Source organism: Homo sapiens, chromosome 5 (genome assembly GCF_000001405.40).
Source record: "Homo sapiens chromosome 5, GRCh38.p14 Primary Assembly".
In the NCBI taxonomy this organism is placed as follows: domain Eukaryota; kingdom Metazoa; phylum Chordata; class Mammalia; order Primates; family Hominidae; genus Homo; species Homo sapiens.
In genome coordinates, this window is record NC_000005.10 from 151,157 (window position 1) to 167,793 (window position 16,637).

The window sequence follows — 16,637 nt, forward strand, 5'->3', positions numbered from 1 at the left end:
CATAGGAGAGGGCTTGGCTACGAAGAGGCACAAGAGAATTTTGGGGTTGCTTAACAGTTCTTTGTCTTGATGGTGGTGATGGTTACATGACTATGCTTTCATCAAAACTTATAGAACTATTCACTAAAAAGGGTGAATTTTATTGTATGTAAATTATACCTCGATAAACCTGATTACATTAAAAATTCATAAGGGCAAATAATTTACATTTCAGGGCAAAGTCAGCCATGTTTTATGCACTGTAGGCACTCTGGGAAACTATGACAGAAGTAGTACCACTCAAAATTGGGCAATTCTATTAATGAAGTTAAAAATTAGAAAGCTAATCAGTAATATTTATTTCTTATTTATTTCAGAACAACACATCTCCTATAATTCATAGTATCTTGCTGTTGGTAGATAAAGAATCTGCATTTAGGCCTGACAAGGATGCAATAATTCAGGTAATGGTTTAGACTGTGGGATCCTGAGTGATGGATAAAATTAAACATTAAGGCACCTAGATGAGATGAAACACATGAAGGAATTTAGATAAGTTCTAATTGCATCCATGTGGGAGCCTGGAAACCTACTTCCTACCCCGTAAGTTCTTGCAGGAGTCCTGCAGAGTATGCCATGAAAAACTTAAAAATGTGACCTTTCTTCTCCACCTCATATGGTTTCTTTCCTTCTCTTTCTTTGTATCTTCCTCTTTTATCTGAAAACATCTTCTTCATTTGGCCTCATTCTGAAAGGGTATTTTTGTTACATCTAGAATTCTGGTTTGAGAGGAGTTCTCCTTTTCCCCTCAGCACTTTAAAGATACTGCTCTGTTGCCTTCTGGCCTCCATAATTTTAGAAGAAAAGTTCATCATAATTCAGATCATTGTTCATCTCTATGAAGTGTGTTAATTTTCCTTTGGCTGTTTCCAAGGTACTTCCTTTCTTTTGAGCAAATCGCAATGCGAGCGGGCTTGGTTTTCTTCATTATCCAGTTTAGGCTTGAACGTTAAATTTGTGAATTCATGTCTATCACCACCTTTAGGACCTTTTTAGCCATTCTTTCTGTCTTTTTTTTTTTTTTTCCTTTCCTGAGACAGCATCTAGCTCTGTCACCCAGGTTGGAGTGTGGTTGTGCAATCAGAGCTTACTGTAATCTCAAACTCCTGGGCTCAAGAGATTCTCCCACCTCAGCCTCCTGAGTAACTGGGACTGAAGGTGTGCACCCCCATGCCAAGCTACTTTTTTTTTTTTTTTAAGAGACAGGTTCTTGCTATGTTGCCTAGGCTGGAATCGAAGTCCCGGCCTTAGGCAGTCCTCCCACCTTGGCCTCCCAAAGCTCTGGGATTGTAGGCCTGAGCCACAGTACCTGGCCTAGTTCTTAAAAACTTTTTTCCTGCTTTATTCTCTCTCTCTTTCTAGTACTTCAATTGCGTATACCAGTATTGTCCCGCAGATCTCTAAGAATCTGTCTTTTTTAACTTTTTTCCTCTCTAGTCTTCATATCAGGTTGTTCCCATTGATCCTGTCCTTAGGGTCACTGGCTCCTTACTCTGTCATCTCTTCAGCTGTTAAACTCACTAATGTGGCTTGGCTCTGTGTCCCCACACAAATCTCCTCTCAAATTTTAATCCCCACGTGTGGAGGGAGAGACCTGGTGGGAGGTGACTAGATCATGGGGGCAGATGCTGTTCTTCTGATAGTGAGTGAGTTCTCATGAGAGCTGATGGTTTTAAAGTGTGGCCCTTCCTTACTCTGTCTCTTGCCTGTACCATGTAAGATGTGTCTTGCTTCTCCTTTGCCTTCTGCCATGATTGTAAGTTTCCTAAGGCCTCCCCAGCCATGCAAAACTGTGAGTCAATTAAACCTCTTTCCTTTATAAATTACCCAGTCTCAGGTAGTATCTTTACAGCAGTGTGAAAACAGACTAATACATTTACCCAGTGAATGTTTTAGTTCAAATATTGTATTTTTCAGCTATAAGATTTCCAATGGATTTTAAAATATATTTTCTACATCTCTCCTGAGTTTTCCTCTCCTTTCATAAATTGCAAGCATTTTTCCTTTACCTCATTGAGCACAGTTTTAATGGCTGCTTTGAAGTCCTTGTCTAATAATTCCAACATCTGGGTCATCTCTGGGTTGGCCTCTGCTGATTGTCTTTCCCTGGAGAATAGGTCCCATTTTCTGATTCATGATGTGTCACATAATCCTGGACATTGTGAATATTCTGCTGGGGAGACTGGATTCTGGTATAGACTCACAGTGTTGTTCTAGTGTGCACGTAACGTGGTTAGACTCCAACCGGCAGCTCTGTGTCACCCACAGTGGGTTCAGTTTAATTCTGAGTCTTCCCCCATGTATGCACGGTTCAGGGTCAGCCAGAGACCTGGGCAGAGTTTACACACATACCGCGGGGCTTCTTCCACAGCTGCCGCCTTCTGGGAATCCACTTTCACTTTCCAGTGGTGTGGCCACCCCACCCCGTCCTCTGTTTCTTCTTTCTTCAGGCAAGAAAGATGCCCATTTTCTTATTGTTTTTATATTTTATTTATGTTTTTATTTTTTGAGACAAGATCAAGCTGTATTGCTGAGACTGGAGTGCAGTGGTGTGATCACGGCTGCTTGCAGCCTTGACCTCCCCAGGCTTAGGTGATCCTCCCACCTCAGCCTCCTCAGTAGCTGGATCTACAGGTATGCACTAGCACGCTCCACTAATTTTTGTATTTTGTTTTGTACAGATGGGGGTTTTGTCCTATTGCACAGGCTGGTCTTGAACTCTTGGGCTCAAGTGATCCACCTGCCTTGGCCTCCCAAAGTGCTGGGATCACAGGTGTCAGCCACCACACCGGCCAGATGCCCCTCTCGTTTCCTTTATTTTTTTTTTGAGACAGAGTCTCGTTCTATGTCGCCAGGCTGGAGTGCAGTGGCATGATCTCGGCCCACAGCAACCTCCACCTCCTGGGTTCAAGCAATTCTCCTGCCTCAGCCTCCTGAGTAGCTGGGACCACAGGTGCACACCACCATGCCCAGCTAATTTTTGCATTTTTAGTAGAGACGGGGTTTTACCGTGTTGGCCAGGATATCCTCGATCTCCTGACCTCATTATCCGCCTGCCTCGGCCTCCCAAAGTGCTTGGATTACAGGCATGAGCCACCGTGCCCAGCCCCTTCCCTTTCTTTTTCTTTTTCTTTTTTTTACAAAGCCACCTGCTGTCAAAAGGATGCCTGTTTTCTGTTGGAGCTCAGCCACTCCCACACGCGGGCAGCGGCCCTGAGGACGGAGCCACTGTGGGAACTCGCCCCTGCTGGCCCCGCATGCATCAGGTGCCCCAACAATGAGCCTGACTTGGCTCGGCTGCCAGGGCTTTCAGGAAACTCTCCTTATATTTTGTCCAGAGTTTGTGGGTTTTATCTGAGAAGGGCCACCTCTGCCACACCAGAAGGAGAAGAGCCTTGACTCATTCTTTCCCTTTTCCTTCCTCCCTTTTTTTTTTTTTTTTTTTTGGTTTTTCTTCACTGAGGCCTTTCCTTCACTTGTCTTAGCTCCCTTCTTTCCCGTCTTCTCGCTTTCATTACTGCACCCAGACCCGTGCTATTATCAGTGCTTCCAGCAAAGCAGGGGCGATACTCCTTGAGCCAGCCTCTCCATCCTCTGAACCCAGGAATGAGCCATTTACAGTGTTTGCCCCCAAGAGATGCATCTGGAGCCATGACCAACGAGTGCCTCTTCTTGGCAGTGTGAGGTCGTGAGCTCCCTGAAGGCCGTGCACAAATTTGTTGACAGCTGCCAGCTGACCGCAGACCTCGACGGCTCCTTTCCCTACAGCCATGGTGACTGGATCTGCTTCCGTCAGGTAGGTTCAGCCTGCAGCTGCTGCACATGCGACAGTCTCTGGGGACTTTCTGTTATGTGGTTGTTTTTACTAGAATTTGAAAAGGGCATCACCGTCCCTGATCTGATGCTTGTTACAGTCGCCGTTCAGGTCTTCGTGTCTACACAACCACGCCGTGGTGCATCTGAGAATGCCGAGCCCGGGTGGGAAGGGCACTGCCGCCCCGGAAGTGTCTGTAGATCTCAGGGATCTTCACATATGGAAGCTTCCCAACCCGAGATCGGTCTAAATGCAGAAACTGGAACTCACAGCTGCTTACTTTAGCATTTAACAGACTGTGTTCTTATAATCTCCTCCCTCTCAACTCACAACAGAGGCTGGAACACTTCGCTGCAAACTGTGAAGAAGCCATCATTTTCCTACAGAATTCATTCTGCTCCCTGAACACCCACAGAACCCCAAGAACAGCCCAGGTGAGTCCTCAGACTTGCAGGTAAGTTCATTTCATGTGACAGGTAGGTGGGGGCATAAAGGTTAGCCAAACTTGAAAATAAATATTTGGTTCACTATCATCTGTAGCAGAGACCTTCAAATCCTTTTTCATTTGTAGATCCCTCTTAATTCAGAAAAGGCCATTTCCTCCCCTTTGTCACCAAAAACATCCCACCCGACCCAGAAGGAAAACCGTGCCACAGCATTTGATGATATGCAACAGGTGTGAGCGGCAACCGCTGCTCGGAACGAGCCATTCCAACAAGACACAGAGGCGAACTGGCCACAGGGCTCTTGACAGCCCAGCCGCCAGGTCTAGGGGCCCAGAGTCTGTGAGTGAGGTCTGCATGTCTGTCCCTGGTCTAAATGGCAGGTTCACCTCCTACAGCTGAGCTTTGAGCCCCCTTCTTCTCCCTCCCAGGGATCTTATCCTGGGGCCCACCCTCCCTGGGACAGTCCGGACCATCAGCTTGAGGAGTGGGCACTGTCATGCCGCCAGGCCTGCAGCTTGATTTATGGAAACAGGACATTCCTGCCACTGTCACACTTGGGAGGACCTGCCCCTTGGAGGAGGGAGTTAAAGGCTTATTCCTCCCCATCCCGTGCAGGAAGTCGCCGAGTTAATTGACCAGCATGAGACGATGATGAAGCTTGTCCTGGAAGACCCACTGCTTGTGTCTCTCAGGCTGGAGGGGGGCACCGTCCTGGCGCGGCTGAGGAGAGAAGAGCTTGGCACAGAAGACAGCCGGTGAGCGCTCACAGGGGTCATGCTGGGCCCTGGCCCATCGAGGGAGCTGCTCGGGGGAGTTTGCACCAGGAGGCGTAGCGCTCTGCTCCAAGGAGAGCCCCCTCTGTGCTTGGTCCAGACCTCCATTCTGACAGCCACGCTTTGCCTGGGTCAGAGCTTTTCCACATTTACAGGCTCCAAAGATCAAGGAGCCAGCTTCTGGGGATGCTCGGCAGGAGGTGGTCAGAGTGCATCAGAATGAGCTCATTCTTGACCAGTGCTGCCTGGGGAGCTGTGCCCACCCCCAGCAGTCCCTGTCCATCTCAGCTGCACACAGCCAGTCCCGCCTAAGCTGCCCCACCTGGGTCCCCTCCAGGCACCTGCAACCCAGGCCGGCCAGGATGTTGGCAGAACGCATGGAGCACATCTGTGCCCCGCCTCGGTTGTGGGCCTCCTCCTGGGGCTCCCGTTGCCTTGTGGCATGAGGGAATGGAAAGAGCAGGGTTTTTATATGGGGTTGTCACCAAGAGCAGATTCCTCAAGGGGCCGCCTGGAAGCCTGAGGACTGCCTTCTCTTCCTCAGGGACACCCTGGAGGCCGCCACAAGCCTGTACGACCGAGTGGATGAGGAGGTGCACAGGCTGGTCCTCACCTCGAACAATCGTCTCCAGCAGCTGGAGCACCTCCGGGAGCTGGCGTCACTCCTGGAAGGGAATGACCAGGTCAGAGCTGCAGGAGGAAGGCGGCCCGGTCAGCATCCCCTCCAGGCCAGGCTGGCCAAGGCAACCCTCTCACCTTCACACTGTGTCTTTAGGGCCTTGATCTGATTTCCATTTGGAATGAAATTATGTCAGGATAGGGCATGCCTTGCTGCTTGTGTAAAAAGAAATAAATTTTATTTTTTACGTGAGAGATACTGGATCAGTGGAGAAAAAAAATTTGTTTAATCCAGAGGAGGCCAGGGAGAAAAATAATTTCACACTGTGCCTTCTGATGCTACCAGTGTGAATAGCTGGGTGTATCTTCCGGACGCTTTCTCCATGTGCATGCGTACACAGTGACTGAGAAGCCGAGGTGAAACCGACACAGGTAGAGAGAGTCTGGGCCAAGGTTGAGGACGGCAGCCTGGGAAACACCTCCAGATGACCTCAAGAAGTGGCTCTGGAGGCCAGGGAGAGGCTCAAGGTTTTAAAGAAAAGAGGACAAATCGGGAGGGGGTGATGACGGAAGTGGCTTTTCATGAATTCTCTGGGTCACAGAAATGGCATTGGTGGGGGTTGGCCACACGCTGCTGGACTACAGGGTGTGAGTTGTGCACAGTGTGTGGCGTGGCTGGGGTTATTGATGGCCCTTGGTGGACACACTGCAGAATCTGGGGTCCATATAGCAGTGGCTCTGAAATGATTGCTTAGCTCGGGGGGCACCAGCGAAATGATTGCTTAGCTCAGGGGTGCAGATGATGCTGCTGCCTCATTTTGATGCCCCTCTGGGCCTGACAGTTTAAGGGGTGCACACTCAGATAAAAAGTTTCTTTCTTTTCTCACATATAAACTCTTCAAAACTTGCACATTTTTATATAAATCCTTATTATTTTATCAACAACTATTGCTGCGATGAATGTGCGGGTGAAAGAGCCAGCAGCATGGAGAGGCAGCAGTGGGGTGGAGGCATCCCCAGCCCTCCTGTCTGCTGGCAAAGCTCCCCCGGCCTTCAGGTCCATGCGCGTGCCCTCACGGGGGCCTCCAGACAAAGACGTGCAGCAGGGACGCGAGGCACTGTGCATGCTCCTGGCCTCCCCACGACTGACCCCAGCTCCCAAATATTGGCCAGGGGCCCAGCTGGTCCAATCCCTGGGGCAGGAACAGGAACCCCACACCAGGCAAGTGGAGTCCAGGCCAAGCTGCAGCCACCAGCCAGTCCGGGCTGTCTCCAGTCTGTGCCCTCTGTCCTGGGGGTCTCCTCCATCTCCCCTCCTCCCTCTGCTCTATCCTGGCTCCATCTCCCCTCCTCCCCCTGCCCATCCTGGGGGTCTCCCCCATCTTCCCCTCCTCCCCCTGCCCATCCTGGGGGTCTCCTCCATCTCCTCTCCTCCCTCTGCCCATCCTGGGGGTCTCCTCCATCTCCTCTCCTCCCTCTGCCCATCCTGGGGGTCTCCTCCATCTCCTGTCCTCCCTCTGCCCATCCTGGGGGTCTCCTCCATCTCCTCTCCTCTCTCTGCCCATCCTGGGGGTCTCCTCCTTCTCCTCTCCTCCCTCTGCCCGTCCTGGGAGTCTCCCCCATCTCTCCTCCCACTGCCTATTCTGGGGGTCTCCCCTATCTCCCCTCCTCCCTCTGCCCATCCCAGGGGGTCTCCCCCATCTCCCCCTCCTCCCTCTGCCCGTCCTGGGAGTCTCCTTCATCTTCCCCTCCTCGTTCTACTCCGTCCTTGGGGGGGTCTCCCCCATCTCCCCTCCTCCCTCTGCCCATCCTGGGGGATCTCCCCCATCTCCCCTTCCTCCCTCTGCCTGTCCTGGGGGGTCTCCTTCGTCTTCCCTTCCTCGTTCTACTCCTTCCTGGGGTGTCTCCCCCATCTCCCCTCCTCCCTCTGCTCTTCCTGGGGTCTCCTCCATCTCCCTCCCCACTCTGCCCCATCCTGTGGTCTCCTATTTCCTGTATCCAAGTCTTCCTCTTTTTTCATTTACTTTGGCGTTTTATGCAGAATAACTTCCAGGACTTCCCAGAGAAAGGGATCTTGGGGTGAGCATTTTTGAGGCCGTGGTATCTAAAAGCATCTCTACTCCACCTTCATGGCCAGCAGTCACTTTAGTTTCCCTTCGCCAGCTGGAAGGCCCTGCGCCTGTGCTTAGCTTCCATCCCACTCCCAGCCTTCTGCCTGTGCCCTGCTTCTCGGTGGAAGCCACAGACTTTCCTGTCGTCCTCGGGGCTCTGGAATCTGAGGGTTGCCCAGGTGCGCTGAGGGCAGGTGTGCCCGAGGGTCACCCAGGTGCACTGAGAGCAGGTGTGCCTGAGGGTGGCCCAGGTGTGCCTGAGGGTCGCCCAGGTGCACTGAGGGCAGGTGTGCCTGAGGGTCGCCCAGGTGCACTGAGGGCAGGTGTGCCTGAGGGTCGCCCAGGTGCACCGAGGGCAGGTGTGCTCTTTGTGTCTGCACTGCGCCCCTCTGTTCTGGGAATTCTGTGACATCCTTCGTGGCGCTCGCATTTCCCACAGCTCCACACTTCCATCTGGTTCTGGAGTTTTCTGTCCTGTTGCCTTAATTTTCCCCACCCCTGGCTGTGTGCTGTCCTTGTAAGGTAGATTTTTCTCAGCTTTACCCTCTAACTCTATTATTGAGTTTTTTGTTTCTGCTCTTGCTTTTTAACTCCATGGGCTTATTTTCTGAACAGTCCCCTCTCCATACTAATCATGATGAGTCTGCACAGTCTGTGGCTTCTGTGGGTTTGTTCTGGCGCCAGAGGCTTTCCTGGCGACCCCTGGCTAGGAAGCCTGTGGCCCACGCATCTTTAGCATTTTCTCCCTGGCGGTCTGATTCTTTTCCTCTAATCCCGGCCTGAAAGGAGAGCCTGGCCGTAGCTCAGTGTTCACCTGCCAGGGAACAGACCCTGGGCCCTGTGGAGCAGGGTGCCCAGCTCCTTCCCTCCGACACTCCCTCACCCTGTCCTGTGGAGTCTCGGGACTTGGCCTCTGCTCTCCTCAGGCCCTGCCACTCCCGCTTCCTTCCCGGCCTCCAGGTTTGTGCCCTGGCTGCTCTCTGCCCACCGTGCTGAGTGTTACGCCTTGGAAGATGCTTGCAGGGCTTTAGTGGTGTCTCAAGAGGACACGTCTCACTCTGCAGTCTTCACCCAGAAACTCCACGTTGTGACCGGACAGGCGATCCTGCTATGTATAGGTGCACGTCTGTCTCTATATATTTAACCTAAAAAGTGCATGCACACTGTGGGAAAATTAGAAACAAATAGATTTTTACACACGGGATGCCGCATGTGGCGGCCTCGGCACCCTGTGTGTGGGCATGCGCTGCAAGCTCAGTCCCCGAGCCATGTTCACACGGCTCCCACACTGAAGGCCCTGGGCTCCTCCCCTCTCTGCTGTTAGAAACTCCCCATGTTGAACATCTCTGTGTCTCTGCTTCCTTCACAGCCTGTGGGTGTTGACTCTGGATACATTCCTAGGCTCGGATGGCTGCGGTCAGACCATTTGTTTTTGGAGGTTTCCACGCATAAGCCGTGGCACTCCAGCCGCACCTGCCTCCCGCCGGCTGCCCCGTGGGGAAATGGAGCCCCTAAACAGTGTGCCCTCAGATTTTCTATGCGACAGCTGGACATTCTCTTCACACGTTTATTATTTTTATTTCTGTAGTGAATTACTTGTTCATGCTTTAGACAGTTTTTCTAGGGTTGATCATCACTTCTGTCTATGTTATATGGATCCTTCATGTTCTGCTTGTTTTCCTAGTTTGTCATTTGCCCTCTAGCTTTGCTTATCTTTTAAACAGCCCTTTCTACCTTAAGTTATAGAATTATTAGTGTATTTCATCATAGAACCTTTATGACTTGAATTTTTGTATTTAAATCTTGAAACCAATGACAGCCGATTTTTCCACAAAGTTGGAGGCCAGGCTCCAGCTCTGCGCCACCCCCACTCTGCTCTGCCGAAGCCGCACCTGCCCCTTGCCTGGCAGTTGCAAGACTCTGCCCGTGCTCCTAAGAATCAAGATGCTGTGATTTTCTTCTTGACTCTGGCTCTGTTTACAGACAGCGTATGTGCTGGTCTGTCTCTCCTCTGCTGCATGTCTGGGGTCATTCGGTACCTTCTGATGGTCATGGATCCAGGCAGCTGTTCTCTTCTTCACAACAGGCCTCTCATCTCTGGGCATCTGACCCCTAGTCGCCCCTGGTGTTGCTGTTTAACGACAACATGAAGGGCTTACCTCTGACATTTCCACTGAATCCAGCAGTAAATGCCTCCAAAATAAGAACCTTGGTCTTGTCACCAGGGCGCGTAGCCACAGGCGCTCCGTCCAGCAGGGCTCAGCCAGGGGCTCCCCCATCTTTCCCAGGCAGCCTCAAGGGGCCAAGCAGCCACTGGCCTGAAGAATATTTCTGGAATATGCTTACCATATTAACCAGTTTCAAAATGGAAAGTCCTGGATCTATTGTTCAATGATTTTAATGTCCTTTTCCAAACAATGAAAATAGTTTGGAGCTTGAGCCTCAGAGGCCCGTGCCACCTCTCATCAGTCGTGTTCATTCACGGGTGGTTACGCAGCCAGGCTGTCAGCCCTGTGCAGCGTGTACTCAGGACATGACCAAGACGCATCCCTCCCTCGGTCCTGCTAAATCCTAGAGTGTGACTTCTTCGCATGTTTAAATATAAAATGTTCTTCCCCTGTGTAGATCAAATCATAGTTTGGAAAAGAACTAGAGAAATGCCTCGGTCCTTTGGTGCCTGCTCTCGAGAATGAGAGGCAGCAGCAGGCAGCACTGTGGGCCGTCCGAGCCTTGGTGCCAGTGGCTACACGCAGACCCAGCCCACACCTGGAGACATGAACGTGGAAGCACCGGGCTTGTACTGATGCTTTGTTCCTTGGGTACAGCAATCCTGCCAGAAAGGACTACAGCTGGCGAAGGAGAACCCGCAACGTACAGAGGAAATGGTCCAGGATTTCAGAAGGGGCCTGAGCGCCGTGGTCAGCCAGGCTGAGTGCAGGGAGGGAGAGCTGGCCAGGTGGACCCGCTCGTCCGAGTTGTGCGAGACGGTAAGAGACCCAGTGGGCGTGCGTCCCAGGGATCCCGGCTCCTTAGGCTGTGGACATCTAGCAAGTGCCTCCCCTCACAAGCTGGAGTGGGCCAGGCTGTGGGACAGAGGCCGGGCACCTGCGATGGAGCCCCCCTGGCCACTGCGCCCACGGCTCTCTGGAGAAGGCTCTGAGCCGACCTGTGAAGCATTTGATATTGTACCAAACAGACCAGCCAAACGAACACACACATTTCTCTGTGTGTTTACTGGCTCAGTTAGAAAATTCCACTGATTGCCCAAAACCCTAAACAAGTGCTACAGCAGACTGCTCGCCTGCGAGCTCCCACGCGCCCCAGACCGCACGCCTGCGAGCTCCCCCGCGCCGGGGACTGCCTGCCATTAGGAGCCCGGGCCAGAGGCCACGGAGCTCACCTGTCAGGACAGCATTTGAGGGGTCATGGGGTGGCCAGAGCAGGGTAGAGCCGTCTGCCCCGTCACGCCTCTCTCAGCTCACAGGATGTGGCATAACTGATCTACACAATGTCTTCACGTGGTCCTAGGACATCCCCCACGGTGCCCTCTGGCATGGCGAACAGACCCCATGGGGTCAGACACAGCCCACCTGCCCTTCCGCTGAACCCGGCCACAGCCCCCACTGGGTGGCGGGACTGCCTCTCGCTCTGCTTTCTGGCCCCCTGGTCCCTGAATAGGCTGACCTGGGGAACAGCAGGGCCTGAGCTGGCTCCAGGGCAGCCCCTCCTCCACTGCACTGAGCAGAGCCCTCCTTGTCCCACAGGTGAGCAGCTGGATGGGGCCCCTGGACCCGGAGGCTTGTCCCTCCTCACCCGTGGCTGAGTGTTTGAGGAGCTGTCACCAGGAGGCTACCTCGGTGGCTGCAGAGGCCTTCCCCGGGGCAGGTGTGGCAGTGCTGAAGCCTCATGCCCTGGGGAAACCGTGGGCATCACAGCAAGACCTGTGGCTGCAGTACCCCCAGACCCGGCTCCGTCTGGAAGAGGCCCTTTCTGAGGCTGCCCCAGACCCCAGCTTACCGCCCCTTGCCCAGAGCCCCCCAAAGCATGAGCGTGCCCAGGAGGCCATGAGGAGGCACCAGAAGCCACCCTCATTCCCCAGCACGGACAGTGGGGGTGGTGCCTGGGAACCTGCGCAACCACTGTCCGGCCTCCCTGGACGAGCGCTTCTGTGTGGACAGGACGGGGAGACCCTGCGCCCAGGGCTGTGTGCTCTGTGGGACCCACTGTCCCTCCTCAGGGGCCTTCCAGGGGCAGGGGCCACCACGGCCCACCTGGAGGACAGCTCTGCCTGTTCCTCTGAGCCCACCCAGACCCTGGCCAGCCGCCCCAGGAAACATCCCCAGAAGAAAATGATAAAGAAAACGCAAAGTTTCGAGATACCTCAGCCCGACAGTGGCCCCAGGGACTCCTGCCAGCCAGACCATACTAGTGTCTTCAGCAAGGGCCTGGAGGTAACCAGCACTGTAGCCACAGAGAAGAAGCTCCCGCTGTGGCAGCATGCCAGGAGCCCCCCGGTCACTCAGAGCCGGAGTCTGTCCTCCCCCTCGGGGCTCCACCCTGCTGAGGAGGATGGGAGGCAGCAGGTGGGCAGGTGAGGTGGACGTCCCCCTCCTCTCGTCCTAGCAGTCCTTGGGGATCTAGAAACCCAAAGCCATTTAGGCAGTAAACTCTCTTCTGCAAAGTAGAAAGTAAATCCGCAGACATCCCTCTGGGTCCACCTGTCCGGTCTAAGAAGAAACACAATTTTAAACTAGATATGAGTTACCTGCCCCCATGTCCGGAAGGGACCACTGAAAACTGCCTGGATGGTGTGTGGTAACCTGCACACACTCACTCTGACGGTTAAGTAACTGTGCGACCAACTCTAGTTATTTTCAGCCCACTTACAGAAAATTACAAGCAGCAAATCAACCCCGACACCAAGAAGAGTTACCTTAAAAATAACTTTTAAAAAGTCTCTTAAGTGTTAGGGGTTAGAAGGCGCACCCATGCGCCCATTGCCCCACTGAAGAGGCCCCTTCTCACTTGTCGAGCCTGCAAAGGACGCGTCCACTCATTGGTAAGGGTGGGCGCACTCGGCCCCTGCCTAGGCCGGATGCCGTCTGAACCTCCATCTTCCACCCATGTGGTACTGGTCGTGAGGGCTAGAGGTGGAGAATTTCGTGAGATGCTTTGCTCATTTGGTTGGCTTCTGTGTCTTGGGCCAGCAATCCCCATCCTTTTTGCCACCAGGGACAGGATTCATGGAAGACAATTTTTCCACAGACCGCAGGGGTTGGGGTATGGTTTTGGGATGAAACTGCTCCACTTCAGCTCACCAGGCATTAGTTAGATTCTCATAAGGAGCACGAAACCTAGATCCCTCACATGTGCAGTAGTGTTCGTGCTTCTCCGAGACTCTAATGCTGCCACTGATCTGACAGGAGGCGGAGCTCACACAGTAATGATGTGACTGGGGGCGGAGTTCACCCAGTAATGCTGTGACAGGGGGCGGGGCTCACAGTAATGTTGTGACGGAGCAGAGCTCACACTAATGCTCTGACAGGGGGCGGAGCTCACACAGTAATGCTGTGACAGGGGGCGGAGCTCACACAGTAATGCTCTGACAGGGGGCGGAGCTCACACAGTAATGCTGTGACGGAGCGGAGCTCACAGTAATGCTGTGACGGAGCGGAGCTCACACTAATGCTCTGACGGGCGGAGCTCACACTAATACTCTGACAGGGGGCGGAGCTCACACTAATGCTCTGACGGGGCGGAGCTCACACTAATACTCTGACGGGGCGGGGCTCACAGTAATCCTCTGACGGGGCGGAGCTCACACTAATGCTCTGACGGGGCGGAGCTCACACACTAATGCTGTGACGGAGCGGAGCTCACACTAATGCTGTGACAGGGGGCGGGGCTCACAGTAATGCTCTGACGGGGCGGAGCTCACACAGTAATGCTGTGACGGGGCGGAGCTCACACTAATGCTGTGACGGGGCGGGGCTTACACACTAATGCTCTGACGGGGCGGAGCTCACACTAATGCTCTGACGGGGCAGGGCTCACAGTAATGCTCTGACAGGGCGGAGCTCACACTAATGCTCTGACGGGGCGGAGCTCACACTAATGCTCTGACGGGGCGGGGCTCACACTAATGCTGTGACGGGGCGGAGCTCACACAGTAATGCTGTGACGGGGCGGAGCTCACACTAATGCTCTGACGGGGCGGGGCTCACAGTACTCCTCTGACGGGGCGGAGCTCACACTAATGCTCTGACGGGGCGGAGCTCACACTAATGCTCTGACGGGGCGGGGCTCACTAATGCTCTGACGGGGCGGGGCTCACACTAACGCTCTGACGGGGCGGGGCTCACAGTAATCCTCTGACGGGGCGGAGCTCACACTAATGCTCTGACGGGGCGGGGCTCACAGTAATCCTCTGACGGGGCGGAGCTCACACTAATGCTCTGACGGGGCGGGGCTCACACTAATGCTCTGATGGGGCGGGGCTCACACTAATGCTCTGACGGGGCGGAGCTCACACTAATGCTCTGACGGGGCGGGGCTCACACTAATGCTCTGACGGGGCGGGGCTCACACTAATGCTCTGACGGGGCGGGGCTCACAGTAATCCTCTGACGGGGCGGGGCTCACACTAATGCTCTGACGGGGCGGAGCTCACACTAATGCTCTGATGTGGCGGAGCTCACACTAATGCTCTGACGGGGCGGGGCTCACACTAATGCTCTGACGGGGCGGAGCTCACACTAATGCTCTGACGGGGCGGGGCTCACACTAATGCTCTGACGGGGCGGGGCTCACAGTAATCCTCTGACGGGGCGGAGCTCACACTAATGCTCTGATGGGACGGGGCTCACACTAATGCTCTGACGGGGCGGGGCTCACAGTAATCCTCTGACGGGGCGGAGCTCACACTAATGCTCTGACGGGGCGGAGCTCACACTAATGCTCTGACGGGGCGGGGCTCACAGTAATCCTCTGACGGGGCGGAGCTCACACTAATGCTCTGACGGGGCGGGGCTCACAGTAATCCTCTGACGGGGCGGGGCTCACACTAATGCTCTGACGGGGCAGGGCTCACACTAATGCTCTGACGGGGCGGGGCTCACAGTAATCCTCTGACGGGGCGGAGCTCACACTAATGCTCTGACGGGACGGGGCTCACACTAATGCTCTGACGGGGCGGGGCTCACAGTAATCCTCTGACGGGGCGGAGCTCACACTAATGCTCTGACGGGGCGGGGCTCACAGTAATCCTCTGACGGGGCGGGGCTCACACTAATGCTCTGACGGGGCGGGGCTCACACTAATGCTCTGACGGGGCGGGGCTCACAGTAATCCTCTGACGGGGCGGAGCTCACACTAATGCTCTGACGGGGCGGGGCTCACACTAATGCTCTGACGGGGCGGGGCTCACAGTAATCCTCTGACGGGGCGGAGCTCACACTAATGCTCTGACGGGGCGGAGCTCACACTAATGCTCTGACGGGGCGGAGCTCACACTAATGCTCTGACGGGGCGGGGCTCACAGTAATCTTCTGACGGGGCGGAGCTCACACTAATGCTCTGACGGGGCGGGGCTCACACTAATGCTCTGACGGGGCGGGGCTCACACTAATGCTCTGGCAGGAGGCGGAGCTCAGGTGGCAACACTCCCTCGCCTGCCACTCACCTCCTGCTGGGCGGCCTGGTTCCTAATAGGCCACAGATGGGTACCAGTCGGTGGCCCTGGGGGTTGGAGGCCTCTGCCTTAAGGTCCATAGAAGGGGTTTCCTCCTCACACCCTGATCATAGGTTTAATCTGAACGGAGAAGGCCCAAGAACACTCTTCTGAAACACACCTTTAGGTTGCCAGACTCAGTGTTTACCTTGTTAAAGGCAAAGCTCCAAGTAGAACATTAAGTTCTGGTTTTTACCATTGGTGTGAGTGATCCAGGGTGTATCTGCCGGCTGAGCCCTTCCGAATCCGTAAGAGGAACGCCAAGCGCTGTCCCTGAGTCTCAGCAAGTGGCTGCACTGACGTTTCTGTCTCCACTGAGCCCATGTTTCAGGTTTGGGGGGCAGCAGAACACAGGAAGGGGGGACTCCTGCCGACCCCCGTGTGATTTCCAGCCTTTGCTTCCTAGTGAGTACATTGTCCATTTACTTTGATCAAGACCCAATTAAGACTGTCCTCATTCTGATTTTGTTTCTGGATATTTACTGAGGAGGCTTTTGTGTGGGTCGTGACACTGGGCCTCGGCCTTCCCGCCAGTGCTGTGAGGGCCAGTTCCTGACCAGCCAGGAGGTGCTGTGTTCTCAGAAACAGTGAGAATCTGTCAAATCTGTTATGCAGGAGTGAAGGGGACAAGTTCTGCAGCTCTGCTGTGAATGGGATGTGCGTTCAGCAGCATTTCTGCCCACAGCTGTGCTTCCCATCATTAGCTGCTTTTTAGTTTTTCCAACTTAAAAAACAAGTAAATACAAATAATGGTAGAAAAAAAATCTGCCAACTCCCATTGGTATCATCAGGATCGAGTTATTTAAGGAGGTTGGGGGTAAGATGCCATCAAGTAGAGGAGAAAAGCAACGCACCTCACTGTTCATTAGGGCAGGGCCCCCGGCTCACCATGGCCCTGGGAAATCTCCTTTGAAAGTGCAGTGGATGGTGCTGTCTGAGGTGCAGAGCTGTGGGACACGCCCAGATCCCACCCCAGCAGAACCCAGAGAACCTTCTCCTGGAGAGTCCCGCCGCCCAGGCCAGGCTTTGGCATTCATGCTGCCGGAGTGTGGGCCCTGCCCTCCAGGCTCACATGCTGGCCACTGCTCAGTTGCTGAGAGTGACCAG

General features: G+C 54.0%; 1 protein-coding gene across 1 annotated transcript in view, besides 2 other annotated features; it reads left to right on the top strand.

The window, feature by feature from the left end:
• The window catches only part of PLEKHG4B (pleckstrin homology and RhoGEF domain containing G4B), a 97,799-nt gene that overhangs the window by 58,989 nt on the left and 22,173 nt on the right, over positions 1-16,637 (top strand). Inside the window, exons 7-13 of the mRNA NM_052909.5 lie at positions 357-443; positions 3,719-3,835; positions 4,189-4,287; positions 4,915-5,054; positions 5,617-5,755; positions 10,627-10,788; positions 11,566-12,392. Coding sequence (NP_443141.4) covers positions 357-443; positions 3,719-3,835; positions 4,189-4,287; positions 4,915-5,054; positions 5,617-5,755; positions 10,627-10,788; positions 11,566-12,392 — 1,571 coding nt within the window. The remainder of the gene's footprint in view (positions 1-356; positions 444-3,718; positions 3,836-4,188; positions 4,288-4,914; positions 5,055-5,616; positions 5,756-10,626; positions 10,789-11,565; positions 12,393-16,637) is intronic.
• Positions 8,515-9,015: an enhancer, noted in NCBI's record as "H3K27ac hESC enhancer chr5:159786-160286 (GRCh37/hg19 assembly coordinates)". NCBI's record gives its function as "activates a minimal SCP1, AML or CMV promoter by ChIP-STARR-seq in naive and primed H9 embryonic stem cells {active_cell/tissue: H9 hESC(naive and primed)}" and the evidence as "EXISTENCE:reporter gene assay evidence [ECO:0000049][PMID:30033119]".
• Positions 9,016-9,516: an enhancer, noted in NCBI's record as "H3K27ac hESC enhancer chr5:160287-160787 (GRCh37/hg19 assembly coordinates)". NCBI's record gives its function as "activates a minimal SCP1, AML or CMV promoter by ChIP-STARR-seq in naive and primed H9 embryonic stem cells {active_cell/tissue: H9 hESC(naive and primed)}" and the evidence as "EXISTENCE:reporter gene assay evidence [ECO:0000049][PMID:30033119]".